General features: G+C 41.7%; 1 long non-coding RNA gene across 1 annotated transcript in view; it reads left to right on the top strand.

Annotated features, from left to right (window-relative positions):
• OSMR-DT (OSMR divergent transcript) overlaps nucleotides 1-23,799 on the top strand; it is a 152,617-nt gene that overhangs the window by 86,375 nt on the left and 42,443 nt on the right. Inside the window, exon 3 of the long non-coding RNA NR_109951.1 lies at nucleotides 15,438-15,528. This is a non-coding gene — a long non-coding RNA (OSMR divergent transcript). The remainder of the gene's footprint in view (nucleotides 1-15,437; nucleotides 15,529-23,799) is intronic.

Below are 23,799 nucleotides of genomic sequence, written 5' to 3'. Positions count from 1 at the left end.
TGCAGTGCAGTGCAGCAGCGTGAGGAGGTCATAAAATTTCAAACTGACAGCCTGAGCAGCCAGGCAGGAGGAAAGACAATAGAAGCAGCTTGATTTAAACTTAGCAAAGTAAAAACACAACATCGGATCTGGGAAGAGTTGATGATAGCTAAACTAAGAATTAAAAAGTGGGTTCGAAACTTCCTGTGGGATCCCAGGCTTGGCCTGTCTTCCCACTCTGTGGACTCTGTGCCAGCAAACACATCTCCTTTTCATTTGTCAGCATTCTGTTTCTTGTTAGAGACTGGGATTCCCGGCAGTGGGAGAGACGAGCACTGCTTGAAATGCAGGACCTGTATTTCTGCATGGATCTCTGCACGCTTGGATCCTCATGCTGATGCTGCGGGAGATGCTGCGGGTTGTCCCAGCTACCTGGGTGGCATCTGAGAACAAGCCCTTGTCTCTTCCAAGACGCATCTCCCTCGTGGTGCCTCCCCTCCCTGCACATTCCCAATATTCTTTGCCTTGGACTGTTTTCTTTCATTCTGAACTTGCCTGAGCTACCTCTTCCCTTTGCATGGCCAAAAAGTCAAGCATTAGGGCTCTGTTCTTTTTGTAGGAGAGGAGTGTTGGGGGACTGACTGGGAGGAGACAGGAGGGAGTCACCTGGGATGATGGAAATTTTCCATATCTTGGTTGGAGTGGTGGCTGTATGAGGTGGTATGTGTAGGTAAACATTCATCTGGCTGTATATTTAAGACCAAGCACTTCACAGCAGGTAAGTTACTCCTTAAAAAAAAAAAAATAAGAGGGTCTAAAACCAGGAGATCTGGGTTTGAATCCACTTAGGGTTGTTTAACCTCTATATACATGAATAAATATAGTACCTGCCACACAGGTGTTTGTGTAGGTGAAAGGAAACAAAAAGCACTCCGCCACATGTGACATGCTGGGTATAGGGTTTCTACTCAACAACAGGTTACAAGTATCATTATTATATTTTGAGAATAGTAATCTCTGAGCATGGTAGTGATTGCAGCTTCTTTGATTTAAAATCCCTCTTAGCATATTGGAGCATCTGGAGACCATGCTTCAGGGCCTTAGCTCAGAGGTATGACTAAGTGGGTGTTTTAGGCACCAGGACAGGTTAACAGGTGAAAATTATTGAGCCAGGGGCCTCTGGGTGCTCTTTAAATTATACCAGCCAGGCAGCCCCAGTTGCCTGGCCCTTCCACGCAGGCTGGCCCCACCTGTATCTTACACTCATTACAGCCGTGTTTCTGGAGTTGTGGAGGCAAATTTTTGATGAATTCATTTTTGGCAAACAAACTCTACTCATAGGCAAAATATAAACTCTTGATCTATCCACTCATATCAGTGCTATGACTAATGGCATTATCTCAATTCAGCAGTGAAAAATTCAAAGCTTTCTGATTCTTTGTTGACCACCATTAACATCTGTTTTACTATGTTGTTTGGATCACTCTCCAGGAAACAAATGGGTCCCTGATATTTATTGCTGACCTCTACTTTGCATGTAACTACCTAGAAACCCATAGAACCACAGAATTTTGGAGCTCTATGAGGTCTTGAAAATTAACTAAGTGAAAACCTCTTGCTTTACAGATGAAGCAGGACAAGTAACTTCCCCAAAGTTCATTCATTTTCAGAAAGTATTTAGCAACTGTGTGCCAGGATTTGTGGTAGACCCTGGATTACATAACCTGGCATGGAGAATTCCTTCCAGTTCTCTTCCAGAGTTCCCCCAAGCCAGACTACTCTTGAATCAGTACTGCCTGGTATGCATAGATATCTGTAATAAACAACTGGAATAGAACAGTAGCCTAAATGGTGTTGGATGGCTGGAGTGCTGAGTTAAGTCATCAAGGGAGAAGCAGGGGCTCAGCCAGCTGGCACTGAAGCCATGTGGGCCTTTTGCCCAGGTAAGAACCTAAGGCCCACATGCTGAGCTGGGTGGAGGGAACACAGCCTTCACCACTGCCTTGCCTGTTTTCCTCTTACGATCTCCTCTGCTGCATACAACTCTTTGGGGCATCACCTTTGTTTCCTGATTTGCTGATTTCAAGGCTTCTCTAGACAGTCATTCTGTTCTTAATTCAAGTACTTAAGTGTGCAGGAAAGGGAAATACACAAGTAGATTGGCCCCGGTCTCCAAAGCCCCAAATCAGAGACACTGAGTCCATTTGCTGTAGGGGATTAAAGCACACTTTATCACCCTACAAGCAAGTGACCTAAACAAGTGAAGTGGACCAGGAAAAAGCATCGAAGGCCATTAGAGAGATCTACCCTCCATCAAGGGACAGTAAATATTCAACTCATTGGGTTTTTCCATGAGACACAGTGAACTCTGCATTGCCACATATTCAGATATTTCAGATAGGCCACAAATGTTGATTTTCTTAAGATGATGTTTCCCAGTTTTTAAAAATCATTCTGTGTGTCAAGTATAAAAACATCTGTGGGCTCCTGGGTTGCTGCCCCCCATCAACTACTTCCCTAATGGATGGCTCAGATATGGTGTCTTAGGCCATTCTGGCTGCCACAATGAAGTACCATAGACAGGGTGGCTTGTAAAATAACAGAAATTTATTTCCATTCATTCTGGAGGCTGGAAGTCTGAGATCAGGGAGCCGGGGGGTGGGGTCTGGTGAGGGCCCTCTTCTGGGGTGCAGGCTGCTGACTTCTCCTTGTGTGCTCCCGTGGCAAGCTCCCTTAGGACTCTTATAAAGACACTGATCCAATTCATATGGGCCCTACTCTCATGACCTCATCTAAGTCGAATTATGTCCCGTAGTCCCAACTTCCTTAATGCCATCACATTTGGGGGTAGAGTTTCAGCGTGTGAATTTGATGGGGATACAACATTCAGTCCATGACAGATAGTATTTCAAATTCAGTCAGCAGAGGGATAGAGAATGAGAATGGGCTGAGAGATGTTTGGATGCTAGAGTCTGTACCTTACCTCTTGGTTTAGGACAGGCAATGCCGATATTGGTATTGTGAGAGAGAGCTTTGATCACAAAGAAGCTGAATTTCAGCCACACAACTCACCTCTCCCTTTGGGAAAGTAATTTATGCAATCTGAGCCTCTTCTTCTCTATTGGTGATATGGGCTCATGCCATCTTCTCAGAGATTTGTCATTGAATCAATAAACTCAGTGTTGTTGAGTTACTCCATTCAGTCACTTAGTCATTCAAATATTTACTAAGAATCTAACATGTCACATGCTTGAAATCAGTAATGAGCAGAATAAACACAGCCCTGGGTCTCAAAGAGTACACCATGGAGAGGGGAAGACAGACAATGTAGAAAGCAGTAAGCATGCAGGGTGAAAGAGCGGTGTTGGGGGTGTAGAGTGCCACTGAAGCGACTTGCGATCAGACCCTGGACCCTTGCTCGTCTTGTCTTCTTCCCTTGTCTCATGGCTTATGGTGTTCTCGCCACACTGGACTCCGAGCTACCTCCTGAGCACACCATCCTCTTCATGCCAATCTCTTTTTTGTCTTTGCTGTTTACTCTGCTGAAATAACCTTTCACCAGATATTTTCAGGGCTGCTCCTTTACGATGTCCTCTCAACAGTCCTAGTCTAAAACAGCAGCCCCAAGTCCTTCACTAGTCTTCCCTGTGACTCTGCTTTATATTTTATAGCACTCGCCACCACCTGACATTCTAGTGCATGTTTGTTTTGTTGTTGTTATTGTTCATTGTCCATCTGCTCCACTGGACTGTAAGCCCCATGAGAGCCTGTACTTTTGTCTACTTTGTTCACTGCCCCAACTCCAGTGCCAGATCAGAGCCTAGATCCTGGGTTTATTCATCAGACATTTGCTGAATGAATGAAGGAAGGAAACACACAGGGGAACCTAATTTAGGTTAAGGGAAAGCTTCCTAGCAAAGGAGATGTTTAAGCCAACAAATTGGCCAGATAAAGAAGTTATTTAGGCAAAGAAGGGAATACAAAATATTTTGGGCAGAAAACACAGCATGTGGGGAGTCCTGGAGATGAGTAAGAGCTTGTTCACAGCAGCAAAAGAAGTTGAGTGTGGTCGGTGACAAAGCGTGGAAAGGGTGGAGTAAGGGAGAGGGCTGTGAGTGGGGAGCCAGAGGGCTGGAGTAGAGAGCCCTGGAAGACCTGAGAAGGAGTTTGAACTTTATCCCACCAGCAGAGGGATGCAAAATGGTACAGCTATGTTGGAAAACATTTCTGCATTTTCTTATCAAGTTAAATCTGTCTTTACTGTACACCTAGAAATGCCACTCCTAGGTATTTACTTAAGTAAAATGTAAACTTAACATTCCACAAAACATTCTATGAGAATGCTTATAAAAGCTCTATTCTTAATCACCAAAAAGAACTGTTCTATATTTTTAATGCTGTGATTACCTGACTGTGTGTTTGTCAAAATTTACGTAATTATGCATTCAAAAGAGTTATTTTCACTGCATGGATATTCCTCTTTAAAGAAAAAACATGGGAAATGGATATTACTCTCTAATTTTTAAGAAAAACACATGGGAAGTTATTAGAAGGTTTTCCGTGGAGAAGTAGCTCTGTCAGGTTTGTGTTTCCAAAAGATCACCTTGTCTCAAGGACAACAAGAATGGAAACAGAAAAACCAATGAGAAGTCTATAGCAGCGGAGGAGGCGAGAGATAACGGTGGCTCCCACTCTGCTGGTAAAAGTGGAGATGTAAGGAGTAGAGGACTTGAGAAATATTTAGGAAGTAGAATTGGCAGGACTTGGCAATTAATTAGAAGTGGGAAATGAGAGAAAGAGGGAGGAGTCAAGAATGATGCTGAGGAATTTGGCTTGGGGGCGTCTGGGAAAGTAGTGGTTCCATGGAGCATGCAGGAGGAGGAGGAGGAAGAGGCTCTGGCAAGCACAAGGTGTGAGGATAAGGTGAGATAACAGCAGCTAGGGACACGTCAGAGGTGCGCTTAATGTTTTCATCTGCTGGATTGGGTTGTTCAGTCTTATGTAGCTAAGTAGTGAAGTAGCACATTGCCTGAGTGCTCACTTCTAAGGGCCTCTTTGCAGCCATAAAATCCACCTGTCTTATTAGTCATCCTTGTAATTTCACCTTCTATACACTCTCACCAGAACACTCTCATCTTCCAAATTCAGTGCTGCTTGTGTAGGTGATCAAGCCATGGTGCCAGCTCAATTCGTGCAGGTCCAGCCACATCATTAAGCTAGTTATTAAGTCAGATGGTGGACCATTCCTCAGGTCCATCCCTATTTTCAAGGCATTTTTTTTCTGTATCCGTACAAATGCCACAGTAAAGAGACCTGTCTGTCTACCCTTCCAGAGCCTTTAGCACCTGCACTTGGTGTGGCTTGGGGAGTTTTGACTCCAGAGAGGAACGACGAGCCTCCACACTCCCCTCTGCTTTGTCAGCTCCTTTTATTCTCTGGCCCAGATAAAGCTGGATTGTGCATCTGCAGCCAAACCACCTTCTACTATTTTCATGTGGCCCCAATTCCTTGTGGTCTAGCCTGGCAAGGAGGAACCCAGACTGAATGAGTGTGGTTCCTGGAGACTGTAGATTTCTTTCAGAACATTTACAATTCCCAGCCAATGTCATATTATTGATTCTGAAAATATTTTTGTGAAGTTAATTGGAAACTCTTGCTTATATTTGAGAAAACAGGGCTGGGCGCGGTGGCTCACGCCTGTAATCCCAGCACTTTGGGAGGCCGAGGTGGGCGGATCATTAGGTCAGGAGTTCGAGACCATGCTGGCTAACACGGTGAAACCCCATCTCTACTAAAAATACAAAAATTAGCTGAGCGTGGTGGCAGGCATCTGTGGTCCCAGCTACTTGAGAGGCTGAGGCAGGAGAATGGCATGAACCCGGGAGGCAGACCTTGCAGTGAGCCGAGAACACGCCACTGCACACTCCAGCCTGGGCGAAAGAGCCAGACTCAAAAAAAAAAAAAAAAGAAAAAAGGGAAACTGAAAACCCAGAGACATTCTGGATAAATCAGCCTAGATTCTAACTGAAGATAATGGCAGAGTGTTCGTTTCTTATCCTTGCCTTAGAGGCATGTGGCAACTTTACTGGCTTTGTAAATGTCAGATTCAATGAAATTGCTTTATAATGGTTACTTCTTGGTGGGTGGGATTGCGGAATGGTTTTGATGCTCTTTATGATTGTGTGTTCTGCTTTTTCCATAGTAAGCATGGGTTACTTTTATAATTGGGAAGAAAATGCAAGAAACTATTAAAAAGCAGCATGCATAGTATGAAACCATTTTTAAGGAAACAAGTACATGTGAGACTATGCATCCAAATGTTTGCAGCAGGCAGTCAGCAGGTCTGTCTGGGAATATGGGTGATCTGTCTTTTCTTCTTCATGCTTTCTGTGTTTTTCCAATTTTCTGTGATAAACGCAAATTACTTCTGTGATCAGAAAAATATAAACTATTCTTTAAAAACTGATGCATAGCATTTCTCTCCTTGATTAAGTCAATAGGACTCGGAGGGTGAGGAAACTTGGCTTCGTCCTGACCCTGAAAGTAACTGGCTCTGTGAGCTGAGGCAGATCCATTCAGAACTATCCATTTCCATGGCTTTAAACAGGGGTAATGATATCAGTGCAATCTACCCCCTCATCAGTGTCAGCCCTGATGAGCTAATGCATGGGAAAGCATTTGGAAGGAAGATATGAAGCTGCATTCCACAACTAGAACTGCTGTCCCGTAAATATTCTGTTAAATATTATTAAAGCAACATGTTGCAGTTTGAAAGCACATTATTTTTATTTTAAGGAAACAGACTAAATCGCAGCTATTAAACCAATCTCCTGTACTTTGGCATTTCTTGTGCCAACTGATGTCATGTGAGAGCAGAAGGGAAAAGGGTTTGTCCTTATATTCCTGGGTATCTTGCCGCCATCAGAGGAGGTGGCACTGGGAAGGCCAAGGGTCCTTGGGAGCACAGGAAGCCAGGCGCTGCCCACTCTAGCAGGGTTTCTCCCCTTGTCCCGGTTGTGGTCTGGTTTGAACAGGGATTCTGGGAACGCTGCACCCCTGTGCCTCTGAGCCTTGCTGGTAACCATGCCCGAATCTTCCACAAAGGCAGAAAATCAGACCCTCTTGGCTGCATGTTGACAGAAAATCTATGGCTAAGATGGTTCCATCAGGGAACTAAAGCTATTGTTCACTTCCAGTTAAAAGTCATGTAATTATCAATGTTCAGTCATATAATTTTATGGCTATGATGATTCACACAGATTCTCTGTAAGAAGAAAAAAAATGACACAGAGAGAACAGCTTATAGATCTCTCTGATATATAGCTATATGCATCACAGACAGCGAGAGATTTATATTTCTTTGAATTTGAAGTTCCGCTGGGCATTTAAAAATATATTATTAGGGTGATGCTGCCCCCTCTTCCCTCCTCAGAGGTAGAAATGGAAATCATTTAGTGTGGGAACTTAACTCATTTCAAGTTTTCTGTGGCTGAACACTAGTGGAGGAGGGGAAGGCTTCTTTCAAATGCTTCTATTCTGATCACACTTTTGTTAAGTTTTTCTATTGTTAAATGACTCGTATTTTGGTGGAGCTGAGGGTGCTTGAATCACTTTTCAGTATTATACCTGGCTTATGTTTTTCCATATGTCTAAAAGAAATAAAAAGTAGTTTCCCCACTTCTTAAGCAATTTAGGAATGATCTTAGGGTTAGAGAAAACAAACAGAGGTTAAGTTTGTGAATATTAAAAATTAAACGTTGGGGCTGGGCGTGGTGTCTCACGCTTGTGATCCTAGCTCTTTGGGAGGCTAAGATGGGCGGGTCAGTTGAGGTCAGGAGTTCGAGACCTGCCTGGGCAACATGACGAAACCCTGTCTCTATTAAAAATACAAAAATTAGCCAGGCATGGTTGTGCGCACCTGTAATCCCAGCTACTCGGGTGGCTGAGGCATGAGAATTGCTTGAACCCAGGAGGCAGAGGTTGCAGTGAGCCAAGGTGGCACCACCACACTCCAGCCTCGGTGACAGAGTGAGAATCTGTCTCAAAAAAAAAAAATCAACAAACAAACAAAAACAAAAACAAACCCTGAATGTTAGAAGAGAGCTTGGGGTAATCTGATGATTCTCAGTGTGTGTAAGCAGGACTGTGTTCAAGCCAGCCTGGAGAGGTCGCTGTCTCTCTTTCTCTGCCACAGGATATTACATAGGATGGGTCCTGGTCTTGATTCAACCTCCAAAGCTGAGGGCAATAGATATTAGAACATGCGCAGGACTTGCTAAGAGGCTGGAACCACTTTTGTAACTCATAGAGCACCACACACCTTCACCTACATAGAAAGAAGGCAATAATGGGCCAGGCGTGGTGGCTCACACCTGTAATCCCAGCACTTTGGGAGGCCAAGGTGGGTGGATCACCTGAGGTCAGGAGTTCAAGACCAGCCTGGCCAACATGGAGAAACCCCGTCTCTACAAAAAATGCCAAAAAAAAATTAGCCGGGTGTAGTGGCGAGGGCCTGTAACCCCAGCTACTCAGGAGGCTGAGGCAGGAGAATTGCTTGAACCCGGGAGGTGGAGGTTGCAGTGAGCCGGGATCATGCCATTGCTCTCCAGCCTGAGAAACAAGAGTAAGACTCTGTCTCAAAAAAACAAAGAAACAAACAAATAAACAAAAAAAAAGAAAGAAAAGAAAAGGAAACGAAAAGGAAAAGGTAATAATGATGCTGGAAGGTTAGTGAGGGAGAATTTCTCTGAACACAGAATATTTCCTCCCCTCCTCTTAGTCAATGCAAGTGTATAATGGGAGGGGAGGGGAAGTGAAGGCGCTGGTCAGCAGGGGAGAATACCTCTCAATCTTGCCCACCTACTCCAAAGCAAGTTGCTTGCAGACTGCAGAAGCGCAAGGCTGCTATGGGATCAGAGCTAATTCTTAGGAAAGTTCAGCAGATGTTCCCCAGGATTGGGAGGGCATAAAGCCTGCAAAAATCCAAAGGGGGAAGCTGATGGAACAAGCCTCGATGGTGGGTAAGAGAGAGAGCTAAAGGCAAAACAAATAGCATTTTCACCTGAGGTGGGAGGAATGAGTGTCATTCATGGGGGCAGGAAGGACACCTCAAATGACAGCCGGACTCTGGCTGCCTTGAAAGGAGCCAGGCCCCACCAGTCCAGTCCCACCTTCAGGGACTGGCCAGCCCAGCAGAAAGAGACTGGTGGGTAAACTGTCATGTAGGAGCTAAGGGGGTTTCGGAGAGATGTCCCTGCAAGGAGATCTCCAACAAGCCAACAAAACTGGGAAGATGAAAGAAAAAGCCAGGGTTTGCCATGTAGGTGGCACCAAGACTGTACTGCAGCAGTGCTCCTCAGATAAGACTTTCTGCCTCTTCTCCTCTCTCCATCCCCTTGCCCTGGTTCTGGAGGAGTTCGATGCAGCAGAGGAAGTTGGGGGAGGGTGTCACAGGTGAATAAAGAACCAATCAATACCCTCTGCTCTTCCCTAATGCAAGTATCTGAGTCTGGGTCAGGCCCGAAATGGCAGAGGAGAGGAGCTTTGAAGCACATGAGAAACTGAAGTTTGGGTTTAGAGGAACTAGACTTTGTGATACCTGAAAATAAGACCTGCTTGGGATGTGACAGTAACTAGAAGGGGAAAGGTCTGCCTGAGATACTCTTCAGGTGTGGGGAAGAGAGATCTGATGGAGAAGTCAAACAGAAGTCCACGGATGAGAGAAAAAGAAAAATTAGTTTCAGGAGCTACAAGGCCAGCCCCACAATATTTCATTTACCTGAGCAAAGATTGCAGGGAGAGAGGTCTTTGTATGCCATGATTTTGTGAAATTTTTGGAGGTGTGCAGTCTTGGGACTTGACCTATAAACATACTCTTAATTTCTATAATACTCACCGTCTCTCTTTTTTGCAAGCCTCTGTCTGTGATAACCCTGCCTTATCTATTAATATTTCTGGGTTTAAAGAACTTTTCTTTCCCACTTACCAGACAGAGAATTTGATGGTAAGAACAGTCTAGATAGTCCAGAATGTAAAACTGAGACTTTTAAAGTTAGTTTTCTGTTGAAATACATATTTAGAATTTGTAAAATATAACCAGGAAGGCTTTCTCAGAAAGGCAGATTCAGTTTTTATGCAATTCATACTATTTGATAACTAATGAAACAGTGACTAAGACACCAAACTCAGTCTGGTTCTGCCCCTTTTTAATTGTATGACCTTGAAAAAATTACACAACCTCTCCTCACCATATTTCCTCTTTTTTAGTAATAGTAATAGGTACTTACCTTATAGTCGGGAGGACTAAATGAATGAGTACATGGACGGTGGTAAAGACAGTGTCTGGTAACTCGGTAAGGACTTAGGACTGTTAACTATCATTGTAGACACTGCAGGAACCTAAATCATATCTTCTTGGCCTACACCAGAATAGCCTGTGATAATTCCAATGCACATCTATAGCTTTCTGCCTCTTCCTTCTCTTCCTAAGGGTGTTCTCTGGCAGCAGGAGTAAGCTCAGTTCAAGTATGGGCAGCCAGAGTGCTGGGTGTTAACATCCCAGATGAGACTTTTAATGAATGAGGGATAGGAGGTGGAAGATAAATGCCCCAGATCCCCTACCTTTCATTGAGTGGATTCTGAGCCATGTTCCACCCAATCTCTCAGGGAATCCCCAGTGCGATGCAGTTCCAGTTGCCCATGGCAGTAACCCGTTCATCATGTGTCCTGTATCCGCTTACATCTCCTCAAGGCCTCAGGTCCCCACTCCCTTGTCATGTCTCCTGAGATTGCCTCTCAAATAAGCAACTTAAACCCAACTTAGTGGGGAACCTTGAGGGAACCAAACCTAAGACAGTCCTTTTTTAGGTAAGTCTGCTAAGTTCTTAAAATTCTATTTTATACATTTTTCATATCACCTACAACACATAAGAATTGTGGAATTCACAACTAGAGCTCAAATACTTGTTGATTTTTATTTTTTATTTTTATTTATTTATTTTTTGAGACAGAGTTTCGCTCTGTTGCCTAGGCTGGAGTGCAGTGGTGTAATCTTGGGTCACTACAACCTCCACCTCCTGAGTTCCAGCAATTCTCCTGCCTCAGCCTCCCGAGTAGCTGGGATTACAGGTGCCTGCCAGCAAGCCCGGCTAATTTTTGTATTTTTAGTAGAGGCAGGTTTTCATCATGTTGTTCAGGCTGGTCTTGAACTCCTGAACTCAAATGATCCACCTGCCTTGGCCTCCTAACGTGCTAGGATTACAGGCGTGAGCCACCGCACCTGGCCACTTGTTGATTTTTAAATCTAGATCTCCGTTATTCAGTATCTCTCCCTGCAGCCCCACAAGCTTGTAATTAGAACTGTACCCTCAGAACTTCAGACAGATGCATAGTTATCCTTTTCTTAATATTTCTACTCAAAGCACTCCAGGGCTCTTAAAAGGGTTGCGTTTGCTCATCCTGTGCTCCTAGAGCAAAACCCAGTATCTGGCAATACTAATACTCAAAAAAACTCTACTGCCTTACCAACCAAAGCCTTATTCTTTACATTAAATTGAAAACTAGCTTGTTACAAATTAAACTCCAAATAATGAGAAAGCATCAGCAAACTTTATATATTCTATATTAATATATATTAAATACATCAGTCTAATAATTGTGTTGAGATGGTCTGGACCTGTGCTGTCCAATAAGGTATTAAACACCCATGGCTACTTAGCACTTGTGATATGCTGCAAAAATAAAGTGTACCCAAGATTTTAAAGACTTAGTACCAAAAAAAGAATGTAAGCTATCTTATTGCTAATTTTTTTATATATTACATGCTGAAATATTTTTGACATATTGGGTTAAATAAAATACCTTATTAAAATTTATTTCACTTGTTTGACTCTTTTTAATGTGACTACTAGAAAATATAAAATTACCCATGTGGTTACATTATATTTCTATGGGACAGTGCTGGTCTAGAGAGGTCTCACACCCGTACCTATCAAGGGTTACTCTTCTCAACTGCCTTTCATGCACGGCAGTTTTCTTAGTCAGCCTCTAACTGAACGTTGCATGGCCCATGGGCCTGTCCCAGAGGCTAGATACCTGAAGGCTCGATACTGCCTGCTGCTTGAGGCTGGGCTAGGGGCAACATGCCGTGAGGAAGAGCAAATACAATGAGAGCCCGGGTCCTACCTGTTGGTCTTGTGCACATTTGTCTTGGATCCCAAAGAGGGAGTGAGGTCATTAAAGCCATAATATATCAGTAACAAATCATAAGAATCCAATACCTGTGTCTTTGTTCAAATGCCTCTGCTTTAATTTGGTTGATTGGCTGACTTCTGGCCCGTGGTGTGCCTAAATAGTATAATTTCCTCCTGACTCAATTGAATAATTTGAGAATTTGGAATCCAGAGACATGTGTTTGAGTGCAGGCCATGCATTTTCTAGCCCTTGAGCAAGTTATTTTACCTTCCTAAACCTTGGTTTCCAACTCTGTAAAACAGGGATAATGATACATGACCGTGTATTGCACAGAATTACTACAAGGAGCAAATCAGAGAGTGGGCAGCTTAGACTTATGTGGACTAGACTTTAGGATGAGTTCTTAAAATGATAGTAGTTTAAGAAGCTGCAGAAGATTTGATTTCTGAGTAATTGAAATATCCCAGAGAGCATCCAGTGGCTGATGAACTGTCCTTCTTCCCTTTGCTGACCATCTCAACACAAAGTCCATGGTAGAGTATAGACCAGAATACCTGTTACTGTTGAATGAGCTTAAATAAGTATATATGCGACATATTGGTTAGTAAGAGAACTATCCCTATGGGTTTGTTTGTTTTTATAGCTATGCACACATTTTCATTCTTGAGAACCCCAAGGAACAAAATGTTATTGGCTTCCTCTCCAGAAACAAAGAACAGCTGCATTTTTCTGGGACATTTCCCAAGCTGCTCCTTCTTCTGTGTGTGAAAGATGCTGTTGATCTATCGACCCAACAATGAGGAGAGAGACTGAGTTCCTACCACTCTCCTCCACAAGCACTCGTGCAGAACTGGGTCTGCCACATGGATACTCTAGGGTGTCTTATGACCCCATAGCAATGGTGTTCAGTAAAGGGAGCATTACCTGCACTAGCTTTCCCCAAAACACACAGTGGAGACCATAGAGCCCCAGTGGAGGAAAGACCTGGAACATTCCTCCTTCTACCAGCAGTGGTCTCATTCTGACAATTGATGCCATACAGAGTGTGAAGCTGGTAAAGCCTTGAGAGGTGATTCTCAACCCTGGCTGCCCATTAGAATCTTTTGGACAGGTTTTGAAAATACGCAGTGTCCAGGCCTTCATCCTGATATTCTGATTTCAGTGAATTGGACAGAGTGTTGGCACTTGGAGCTTTATAAAGCTCTCCAGGGTTGAGAATCACTGGTCTAAAATCAGGACTAGAAGCCCTGTCTCTCAATTTCTCATTCAGATAATTGGTGAAAACATGGGCTTCAGACTGAGATATCTTTGTATTTAGAATTCTGACTCATTTGTTAATTAATTCAGTCCTTGAATGAACTATTGAAATTCTCAGTTTCCGTGTTTCTAAAATGGAATAACACTTATCTCAGAGCATTTTAAGAAAAATTAAGCGTCAATACTTATGTCTATTTATTGTAAGCAACTTGAGGATAGGGACCTTCTGGTAATATAAATAACATTTAATTAAATAACTGTGATGTGTCAGACACTATACTAGACACAGCAAGGGCAACAATTATATTATCTCACTTAAGCCTCACAAGACAACTGTATGTGAAATAAAGAACAATTCTGTGAGATGAAGAAAATAAGATGCAGAGAAGTCCACTGTGGATACCCAGGATCTACAGGCTACAGCAAAGCTAGGATTTGGACTTCCATTTTTCTGACTTGAGAGTTCATTATTTTAATTGATGCACTACAATGTCTCTCTAGCCTATGCTAAATGCTGCATCATTAGCCCCTAGCATGATGCCTACCACATGAAAGGTACTTAATAACATGCAACAAATGGATACAAATGAAAAGATGTAAATTAATGAATGAAGTACCCAGGTCATGGTAGACAGGTAACATTAGTTCTCTTCTCTATTGATTAAATCTCCCCATTAGTCTATCAGATAAAAAGGGTTTATTTTAATCAGGGGCAACATCCAATAAGGAAAATTATAACATGCCTTATATTATTGCTGTTGCAAAATGAGAAACTAGACTTGCAGCAGATCAATCCCATTCTTTCACATACTATTAGGCGGGATATGATTTTAACTTGGAGTATGTTGATAGCTCCAGATAAGAAAAGCAAATATTGGGCCGGATGTGGTGGCTCATGCCTGTAATCCCAGCACTTTGGGAGGCCGAGGTGGGGGGATCACTTGATGTCAGGAGTTCGAGACCAGCCTGGCTGATATGGTGAAACCCTGTGTCTACTACAAGCACAAAAATTAGCCGAGCATGGGGGCTTATGCTTGTAATTCCAGCTACTCAGGAGGCTGAGGCAGGAGAATCGCTTGAACCTGGAGACGGACGTTGCAGTGAGCCGAGATCATGCCACTGCACTCCAGTCTGGGACACAGAGCTAGACGCTGTCTCAAAAAAAAAAAAAAGAAAAAGAAAAAGAAAAAAAAAAAAAAAGAAAAGCAAATATTGGTTCATGCCCAGTTTTAAACTCTTGTTAATCTTCCAAATTACTATTTGGATACTAACTGTCAGAATGTTTTATGTATTTCCTACATGGATTCTGAACACAGCTGTGTTAAAACTCTGTGGGCTTATTTTAACACATTAGAGCAGCTTGGAATAGTTGGAAATACACAATAAGTGGAGTCAGCCAGCCTGAGTTCAGGTTTTGGCCATCCACTTACCAGCTGTGAAGCTTTAAGCCCAAGCATCTCAAATGAAGTATTCATGGCCTGGAGGTTTGGGACTTTATGGTGGAAGGTCTCAGAGATTCAGGATAAACAAGATTCATTCATTCATGCATTCACTAAGAAAATATTTATTGAATGTCAGGCATTGTCTTACAAGTGAAATGAATAAGACAGGGAAAATTTCTGTTCTCATGGAGCTTTAGATTCTTCAAAAAGAGACATATAAATAAAATAATTTCAGATACAGATTAATGTTATTTTTTCAAATGATAATAATATAAGACTATTTTAAAAGCCTGATAACATTGATTAATGAATGCTGATAGTTGACAACCAAAGTACACATTTTCCTTTCTAATAGTACTTTGTTTTCAATTAGGTATCTACCATTCCTACACTCTACCTATGGAATGGGTCTGGTTGGCTCATACCAAAGATATTCAACTTCTCATTGGTTTAGGGTGGCCATGTAACCTAAATAGTTTAATCAGGGTAAATCTCAAGACTGGTATTCTGGTGTGTAATGTTGGTATTCAAGTTTTTTTGTTGTTGTTGTTCTGCCTTTCCTCTCAGAACCAGAGGATGAGGATGTAAAACAAAAACTTTTGGAGTCATTTTGCCACCAGGATGAAAATAGGATGAAGCTGACATGACAAAGGTGCAGGTAAATGAATTCCATTCAAAAGTAGGATTTCTCTTAAGCTTGCTTTATCTCTGAACTTCGATTCATAAAAGCAAATACATTTCTTTATCATTTAAGCCAATTTGAACCAGATTTTCTGTTTCTTGCAGCCAAAGAATTCTCTAACTGATACAGAATTTGGTACCAGGAGTGGGATGCAATTAAATATAAACTCTAAAACATAGACTTGTCTGAGCAGAGATAACTAGGTGAAAAGCCTGTTGAGACTCAGGCCATATGTCTGCAAGGTATATCAGGGGAAATGGTAGGAAAAATTCAGGATTTTGGATTACAGTAATGTCCTATAATAAAGAGACAATCTTAAGATGAAGTGGCCTATCTAAAAGCAGAGAAGGAAAAAATATGGCCTTACTTAGGAAGACCCTCTCTGAGTATGAACTGCAATCCAAAATGACTAGAATCTAGTGGTGTTGCAAAGACTGAATACTCCACTCCAAGTTAAGGTTCATACATGTAAAAACAGGAGGTAAGATGGGTGCAACAGACAACACTAACCCTTCAGGCTACTCCCAAATACTTCCTACTGAAAAGTCTCCATCTGACAAAGCAAACAAGTACAGTTGTGATAGAACCTGTATTAGTCTCTTCTGCATTGCTATAAAGGAATACCTGAGGCTGGGTAATTTATAAAGAAAACACATTTCTTTTGGCTCACATTTTCTGCAGGCTGTACAGGAAGCATGGTGCCAGCATCTGCCTCTGGTGAGAGTGTCAGGAAGCTCACAGTCATGGCAGAAGGCAAAGGGGAACCAGTGTTTCACATGGTGAGACAGGAAGCAAGCAGGGGGTGGGGGAAAGTGCCACATTCTTTTAAACAACCAGATCTCCCATAAACTCAGAGTGAGAACTCACTCATTACCACGAGGAAGGCACCAAGCCATTCATGAGGAATCCACCCCCATGACCCAAACACCTGCTACTAGGCTCCACCACCAACATTAAGGATCGTATTTCAACATGAAATTTGGAGGGAACAAAACATTCAAACCGTATCAGAACCTGAGGGCAGGGAGCAAATCATTATACTCCAAGTTATTGTCAGAAACTTCCAGAAGAAGAGCCAAGATAAAAGTGGCAATTACACTAAAGCCTGACGGGATGATGATATAACAGAGGCCTGTTTTTAGACAGTGGAAATTCCTGTCTCAAATAGAATGAGCAGAGACAGGCTTTCTGTCTATGGTTTCCAGCCCGTGGAAGTGATTTGTCAAATATACTGATGATAATTAAGTTTTGTAAAAAGCTATTGTATTAGTCTGTTTTCACGCTGCTATGAAGACATACCCAAGACTGGGTGATTTATAAAGGAAAGAGTTTTTTGCTTTTTTTTTTTTTTTTTTTGAGACGGAGTCTCTCTGTGTCGCCCAGGCTGGAGTGCAGTGGCGCAATCTTGGCTCACTGCAAGCCCCACCTCCCAGGTTCACGCCATTCTCCTGCCTCAGCCTCCTGAGTAGCTGGGACTTCAGGCACCCGCCACCACATCTGGCTAACGTTTTTGTATTTTTAGTAGAGATGGGGTTTCACCGTGTTAGCCAGGATGGTCTCGATCTCCTGACCTCATGATCCACCCGCCTTGGCCCCCCAAAGTGCTGGGATTACAGGCGTGAGCCACCGCCCCTGGCCAAAGGAAAGAGTTTTAATGCACTCACAGTTCCTCATGGGTGGAGGCCTCAGGAAACTTACAATCATGGCAGAAGGGGAGGCAAACATGTCCTTCTTCACATGGCAGCAGAGAGAAGAAAAATGAGTGCCCAGCAAAGGGGGAAGCCCCTTATAAAACCATCGGAACTCGTGAGAACTAACTCACTGTCACCACAACAGGATGGGGGAACTGCCCCCCATTATTCAGTTATCTCCACCTAGTCCCTCCCATAACACATGGGGATTATGGGAACTATAATTCAAGATCAGATTTGGGTGGGGACACAGCCAAACTATATCAGCTATATTGCTAAAGAAATCCCAATCCTGGACAACCACAGTCCATGTCTGCTCAAGCCCTAAGGCAATCTCAGGCTCTGTAAAGTTACACACACAGAAAAGGAAAAGGGGATGCTAAAGTTATGCAGCCCCTGGGAAGGGAAACTTCTCTAGATATGGCTATGGAGGTCAATGAACAGAGAAGAGTCTCCCAGAGATGAAAACTGGAGGCTGCCAGATTGCTTGACCTCCCCCACTGTCAGAGCATTATCAGACCATAATGCTGAAAGAAAGAAAGAATATCCTCAGTATCAGCATCTCTAAGTCAGAAGCTCAAGATTCACCCTGACTGATTGGATCGTTTAAGTCATGTTCTCATCCCAAGTCACATACCCATCCTAGGGGATTACGTCTTGTATGTACTAATGTCCTGTGTGTGTGTGTGTGCGCGCGCACGCACACGTGTGCGTGTTTTCTCAATTCTCTTTGTAATTGACATTTTTTATTGAAGTCATTCTTGTTCTTCTCTTTATTGTGTATTGGATGTGTGGGTGATTGATAAATTTGCTATAGCCATAGTTTTGTCTAACCACAAAGAACTACATCCAAAATGAAGTAAGATTTCATATTATCCAGAAGTCCTGGACTTGGAGACAGATGCTGTAACTGGATAATACTTTGGTTGTGTATTTTTAGGAGACAGAGTGAGAATGTTTTATTTAGATATGGACATTTTTGAAAATGAATGTATGGAAAGATGAGTAGACTTTCTAAACCACTTCTATGTATCCAAGGATTTAGAAATAATGTATTATTAAAATATTAGGGCCGTGTTTCTGAGAGTCAGAGAAAGGAGTTACAAATAAAGGTGGGAAGCTAGAATGAACTCTGTAGTGTTGAATTAGAATTGGAGGTATCAGCATGAACTCATGGCTTTTAATTTATAGATACATATAGAAATATGCATCTATAAATATATGCATGTGTGTTCCCACATGTATTTCTTATTTCTGTCTGCAGAGAGAGCCTAGAAGCAATGACACCCAATACCAATTAACATACCAATTGCCCAGATCTTGGTTTCTTAATACCATTTACCAATAAAAGTTACTAGGTCTCTCGGAGAAAGTGGCTGATTCTAGGTCTGAGACAGGGTAAGTACAAGATGGGCATGAATTGTCTTATAATGCCAGAAATAAGAAAATATACCCACAAAAAGATTGGGAATATGTCAAAAGAACACAGGAGGCTACTTGAAGAAACTCCCTACAGTCAAATCTGGGACAATTTGAGCAATAAGATAATGCTAGTAATGGATTATAATCCAAGGAATAAAGTAAGAATGTGCGAGACTATACTGATATTAACAAACAAATAAATGGGAGAGAAGAAGAAGTACAGTAGAATTCCAACTAATAAATATAAAAGAAATAATGGAGTTAGAAAATCACCATCTGGCAAATACCACCCTAATTGCTTTAGGCAAGATTCACCAATAAATTTTAAAATTAGTGAACAAAACTATGATGACTGACAAGATATTTACATATGTCAAAATATGTCACCTCCCTCATCTTCTATCTGCTGGGTTTATCCCTATTTGAGCCTCCCTGTATTGGTTAGCTTTCACTTCATAAGTTTTATACTAATTACAAAGGAAACAGTAGTGACATTATAGTAGGGAAACATGGCAGGCTCCATGCTAATTTAGTGATCAAAATTTTCATGGCCTATAATGGTCCAAATTGGCATCATATATCTGATTACAATGCACTAAGATACAGCATCACTCTGTAATATTTATTCCAAAAATGTATAACCCAAATTTAAATTGTGAGCAAACATTAGACAAACCCAACTTCAGTGCCATTTCGTGAAATAACTGACCAAAATTGTTTGAAAATATTAAGGTTACCAATAACACACACACAAAAACCTCTTCCAGATTAAAGGAAACTTAACAACCAAATGCAATGTGTGATCCTGGATTAGGTCCTGAGCCAGAAAAAAAGATCATTAGGATAATTAATGATATTTGAATAAGGCCTATAGATTAGATAATAGTATTATGTCAGAGAAAAATTCCTGATCTTAATCATTGTACGTAGTCTTGTTAGATGTCAACATTTGGAGAATCTTGGTGAAGAATATGGAGAAAGCCTTTGTACAATTTTTTAAGAATGTTTGTCAATAAAATCATTTCCAAATGAAAAGTTTTTTAAATTTAAAAATTAAATTTAAAGATGTCAAAAAAACTGCTCAGCCTTTAAAATATTTCCATGCTCCTTCCTTCTTCAAATCCTTTCCTGACCCTTCATTTATTGTAATTCTATACTTATGTTTACTTCTCTATTATAATGGTTTCTATTATGACTCAGAGTTCCATAAACTGGCAGCCTGTGGGCTAAACTGGCCTTCAATTCTTTTCTTTTGGCTGGCACAAAGCCTCCTCCCTAAATCTGATTTGTCATAGCTCCCCACTACTCCTTATTGTCTCAGTTATCAGGCTGGCCTACTCATTTAAGATATTTCTTTTTCGTTAGTTTAAGCCTTTCTACCAAAATCTTGAAATCTTGTGTGATAACTTATGCAAAATATATTTCCATAGATAACTTCAGGCTCTGTTCAAATGATCATATTCGCTGATTCATGGGATCTGAGTTAATGTGCACTTGAATTTTATTACGTTATGAAAATAAGTGCTATTTCATTTTTGACTCAGAAGTAGCCATTAGTCATCAAGTCCTAACACTGATCTTTGAGGTTAATAGCAGTTTAGATCAATCACAAATATATGAAAATGAGGAGATTCTGAGCGATTCTGTATTTACTCATTTCTCAGAAACCTAATGGGTCTTGCTCTAGGGATTGCATCATCTCTTCCAGAGTCTTCTCCTACTCCATAATCCAATCACCTGGGAAGCTTGTTAAATACTCTTTCAAAGCTTTTTTTCAATGCTTAAAAAATACCTAGACCCTACTCTCAGAGATTCAGATTTAATTGCTGTACAGTAGGGTATAGGCATTATTAGTTGCTTCATAAAAGGAGGACCTATGACTTCCTCTTGCCCAAAGCTTTATTTCTGAATCGCTTGGTCTAATCCATTCATTTCTCCCACCACTTGGTCTCTTCTTAATCCCACGGACTTCCAAACTTACTGTTCATGCTTCAGTTTCCATCTTCAATTTTCCCATTGAACTTGACTTCTGGCATTTTCTTTTTTGTGGCTCTCCATTGGCCATAGTAGGGTCACCCTCTGTGAACTGCTTTAGGTTTTCTTAGGAAACTGCCCACACAACTGGCTCCAGAGATTTTGCTACCTCAATGTCACCTCCCCTGTCTTCCATCTGTTGCTGGATTTATCTACATTTGAGCCTTTCCATATTGGTTAGCTTTCTCCGCCTTAAAAAACCATCTCAAAACTTAATGGTTTAACACAATCAAATGATCCTATGGAATAACTAGTATTTCTTCTAGTTTGAGACAGTTGGGCTGGAGTGGAACTCAGTGACATCTTTGAGACCCTCAGCTGGGCTGGCTGGGACAGTTGGGGCTCTTCTCCACATAGTCTCCCATCCTCTGATCGGTCAACCCGGGCTCATTCATGTAGTGATGGGAGGGCTCCATGGAAGCAGCAAGAGAGGGCAAGCCCTAAGGAGCGAGTGTTTCTCCAGGCCTCTGCATGCATTGCATGTGCTGATGTCCCATTGGCAGCCATAGTCATTCACACGGCCAAGCCCAGACTCAATGTGGGAAGGGGCTACTTGCAGACTGAGGGCGTGAATCACTGGTGGCCATTACTACAAAAGTAGACAATCGCCTTTCCTGTTAATTCCAATTATTCACAGTCCTTTCACATGCAAAAATGTACTGATTCCCGCCAGGACCCCCATCAATTGCATTCAATTATAGCATCAATTATGGCAAAGTCTAGGATCCTGTGATTTCTGTCAAGTCCAAATGAGGGTTAGGCTTCTCACATGCACTTCCTTGGCTGTGACTTCCCTGGATCCAGAGACCTGTAAATTAAAGAGATAAGTTATATGCTCTGCACACACTCAACAAACAATAGTGAGAAAGGGATAGGACAATGGCAGTAAATACGTCCCTTAAAAAGGGGAATTAAAAGAAGACATATAGCAGTCACCAATTCCAATTCATAATCCTGCTCGGCACATGTTGCCCGGTCCCCCTATTCTGACAGCAGGATCCACTCCGCTCTAGGGGAGTAGCTCCCAGTCCATTGTTCTCCATTACTCTTGGCTCCTCCACCTGGGCTCTGGGCCTTTCATCCTGAGACAACCTTCTTTTTCCATAGAAATAGCCCATGTTGTCAGCTGAATAGCCTTCTGAGCCTACTCTTTACTCAAAAAAATTGTGGGACCCAAAGTCATTTTTCAATTTGTGAAATCTCAGAGCCTTTTACTCCGATCTGGCTAAGTTCTGCACCGCGCCCCCCGCCCCCACCACACCCCAGTAAAATTCTCTTTAAAATATAGGTCTTCTATTATTTTTACTTAAGTCCACCACATGCTCCAAAGCCACGTCCATAATTCTTTTTGTGAGTGGTCTCTCACTGCTTTGGGCCTGTCTGGCTACTGTGGAACACCTGATGATTCTTAAAAGCCTTTTTGTCTACCTGAGATGTTCCATTGGGAATCACTTTGTAAAACACAAAACCCAAAATTCAAGAATAAGTAAGGTTCAAATAAAGAAGAAGGGAATGTTTCTGCAAAGGTAGCAATATAGGGAGAGTCCAGGAATTTGCAATGAACACATCTGGGACGCTCAGTTCTCCCTGGACGCTATGTGGATGGGTAAAATGAGATGAAAGGAACAAGGTTGAGTCAACAGCCAAAATTTGACAGCTACCATCCCAACATATATTTAGCATCCGGGATATTTTTTTTAATTTAACATTATTTTACAAGTATGTTTGCAAATTATTGCATGGTAGTTATCATATATTATTTGAAATGGCTGGATGGTTCTCCATCAATTTAATGTACAATCATTTACCATTCCCCTGTAGTACTACATTTAGGCAGTTTTGGTTTTCTGCTGTTTAAATAACTGCTATGATCATCTTTATACATTTTTATTTTTAAGTCATTGATTACAATGTATTTTCCAATCTTTCAAGAATTAGATCACCGGGTAACATATTTAAGGCAAGTGACTTAAGTGGCCAGTGTTTTCTAGAAGACTTATACCAACTCTCAACCTTTAATCTACCTGTTAAAGTCCACTTTAACCTACCTGTTTCCCTGAAGCCTTAGCACCATAGAGTTTTATCACTTTTCTTTCTTTTTTTTAAGAATTTTAGCAGACACAATGGCATCTCCTGATTTCTATTTGCATTTTTTAAATTTATAAATTGTACAATCATCCTTTTGTTAATTTAACAAAACTAATTTTCCTTGTGTAAAGTTAGCTCTAATCCTAGAGTGTAAAAGATAAAAGGCCCAGCTGCAAAAGACAGAAATGAAAAAAAAAATCCAACAATAAAAATATTAACACTGGCTTTTTTCTTTTTTCTTTCTCACATAAAAGAATTCTGGGGATAGCCCAGGGCTGCCAGGAACTCTGTATTGTCAGCAACTTGTGCTTTATTAATCTCATCACTCTGTTATCCTAGGTGACAGCTTCTACCTTATGATCTGCGTTCCAGTCAGCGGGAAGGAGATGGGGTGGGAATGTGATAAACCACTTCCCTTGAAGGACATTTTCCAGAAGGTGAATGCCACTTCTGTTTATATCCCATTGGCCAGCACTTAGATTTATTTCCAAGAAGAAAAAAGGAGAACAGATATCATGTTGACCAGCAGTCTCTGCCACAGACAGCTAATCTCCACCTTCCACTAAGGCTGAGAAATTACCAGCATGGGAGGAAAAGGTGGTGCAGTTCAGCAGAAGTAAATGTGAGTAGAGAGGCAAGACTTAGACTGGCAAAGAGAGGCAGGTGTGCAGAGGTGGGAAAATACCACCTGTGCGAAGTCAGCTTCTCCCTGATTCTAGACTCTTGGCTGCTTCACCCTCAGCCCTCTCCAATAGACCTTCCATCTCCTCCCCGAATTTTAAACAGTTTTTAATGCCCAGCTCAGATCTCAAATCTTCCCTGACCAGAACCAGACCAAACAGTCATTTGAACCTAGACGCCAAGCTAAGTCTTCTTAAATATCATTTCTATAAGTCTAATTGACCCCAAGAGATTACAAATACATTGCAAACAGACATAATACCTTGCATTTTTCAGTGACCACCATCCCCTACCAATCTAGCTTTCTGTATTCTCTTATCTCAATTTAGTC

This window comes from Homo sapiens, chromosome 5 (genome assembly GCF_000001405.40).
Source record: "Homo sapiens chromosome 5, GRCh38.p14 Primary Assembly".
In the NCBI taxonomy this organism is placed as follows: Eukaryota; Metazoa; Chordata; class Mammalia; order Primates; family Hominidae; genus Homo; species Homo sapiens.
Note: the sequence above shows the minus strand (reverse complement) of the source record. Positions and strands in the feature narration are given on the sequence as shown.